This window comes from Homo sapiens, chromosome 13 (assembly GCF_000001405.40).
Source record: "Homo sapiens chromosome 13, GRCh38.p14 Primary Assembly".
Classification (NCBI taxonomy): domain Eukaryota; kingdom Metazoa; phylum Chordata; class Mammalia; order Primates; family Hominidae; genus Homo; species Homo sapiens.
In genome coordinates this window covers 20,272,209-20,273,940 of record NC_000013.11, presented here as the reverse complement: position 1 = coordinate 20,273,940, position 1,732 = coordinate 20,272,209, and the positions used below count along the sequence as shown (strand labels likewise).

General features: G+C 50.8%; 1 annotated feature.

Annotated features, from left to right (window-relative positions):
• Positions 394–563: an enhancer, noted in NCBI's record as "experimental_32461 CRE fragment used in MPRA reporter constructs". NCBI's record gives its function as "activates a minimal promoter by MPRAs in K562 erythroleukemia cells, with activity observed for both the introgressed and non-introgressed 13:20847602 variant alleles {active_cell/tissue: K562}" and the evidence as "EXISTENCE:reporter gene assay evidence [ECO:0000049][PMID:34662402]".

Here is a 1,732-nt window from a genome sequence, read left to right as displayed (position 1 = left end):
GCAGTGGTTCAGTATTAGCTCTTTCAGAGTGTGTGGCAATTTTATAGAAATAACTATTACAACTACTGAGAATTGACTATTTGATATTTTGTAAACTATTGTAAACGTTATCTTTTGAAAATTCCACCTCTGTGAAACAAAAAAATAAACCTTTGTCCTTTAGGAAATAAGCCTTTTTGGGATACTTACAAATCTGTTCTTCCCTTAAACAATAAGGGGAAAAAACCATGGCACAGGTTAGGGTGGAGGGGTGGCAGTGGGCCATGAACATCTGTGGGCTGGGTAGGGCTGTGCAGATTGGGAATAACAGAGAGAAGACTGGCTGGGGTGAGGAGACTGCTGGAGTCAGAGCTTGGGAGCTGTGTGTGTGTGGGCTCCACACCCACAGGACCTCCACACCCACAGGTCCATCATAGGGCGACCCTAGCTCAGCGACAATCAGGGTTGCAGGATAGGGCTTGCAAAGGAGGAGTCAGCCTGGAGAAAGGGGCGAAGGTACTCTAGGAGGAGGGACTGGTGCTGGGACAGTGCTATCATCCAAGCCGAGAGGAATGCTCTCTGCAAAGGAAATGACCAACCAAGTCAAATGCCAGAGATCGGTGAAAAATTGAGGGCGGCAAGAGTATCCACTGCCTTTAGCATTCAGGCGGAGCGGCTCCCTAGAGCTATGGGGTGGATGTCAGATTGCAATGCGTCAAAGAGTTAAGTGAGAAGCAAGAAGAAAATGAATGCAAAGGCTTTCCAGAAGCAAGACCCTGAGAGAAAAGAGGCGGGGTGACCACAGGAGATGGATATGGGGTTAAGGGGGGTTCCAACAGAGGAGAAGACAGCTGGAGGGAAAAGCTGGCAGAGTGGCTGAGGAGAGGCCCCTCCTTCAGCAGGCCCGGCTGGGTGGGAGGCAGCCCAACAACCGCTGGATGCGGGAGGTCCCGGGAAAGGCTGGAGCGGGGAGCCAACGGGGCGCACGGGAAGAGCACGAATATGGAGACCTGAAGGTCTTCTGGAAGTTTTCTCCTGTGGTCCTCAGCAGCCTGTGGGTGGAATGAGAAATGAGAGATGGCTAAATCGACCCTGGGCAAAAGTTTGTAAGGGGAGGGGCAACAAGGAGAACAGTGGGGTGGAGGAGGGGCCAGTGCTGGTCAGAGAGATCTGTCAAAACGCAGCCACCACAGTGAGCCACTGCACTTGGCCTGGGCGACAGAGCGAGACTCAAAAAACAAACAAACGAAAAACGCAGCCTGCAGGAGCTGGGATGTGGGAAGAAAAGGAGGTTAGTGGGGCCATGGGACTGGGAGAAAACGAAGGAGTGGAGAAGGAGACCAGTGGAGTTCTGGGAGTGAAGGGAGATGAGGGATACGTTCAGGAAATGGAATATACAAATTTAACAGAGGTCTGATGAGTTGGCCTCAGAGCCTGAATGCATTCATTTCAGCTGCATGTAACAGAAAATCCCCAAATAACACTTTTTTCTCACTTAAAGGAAGTTTGGGGGAAGGTACTTTGTCATCCTCTTGTAGCTCTGTAGGCAGCCACCTGTTTTCTGCTGGACCATCCCAGCACGTGGCCTCTCTTCTCAAGGTCCCCTCATGATTTAAGATGGTTGCTGTGCACCAGCCATCACATCCATGTTTCAAGCAGCAGTACAAAGGAAGAAGGAAAGAGACAAAAGGCTATAACCTCCCAGCTGAATCAGCCCTCTTTGAGGGGCCTTCCAGGAAGCCCCACTCAACAC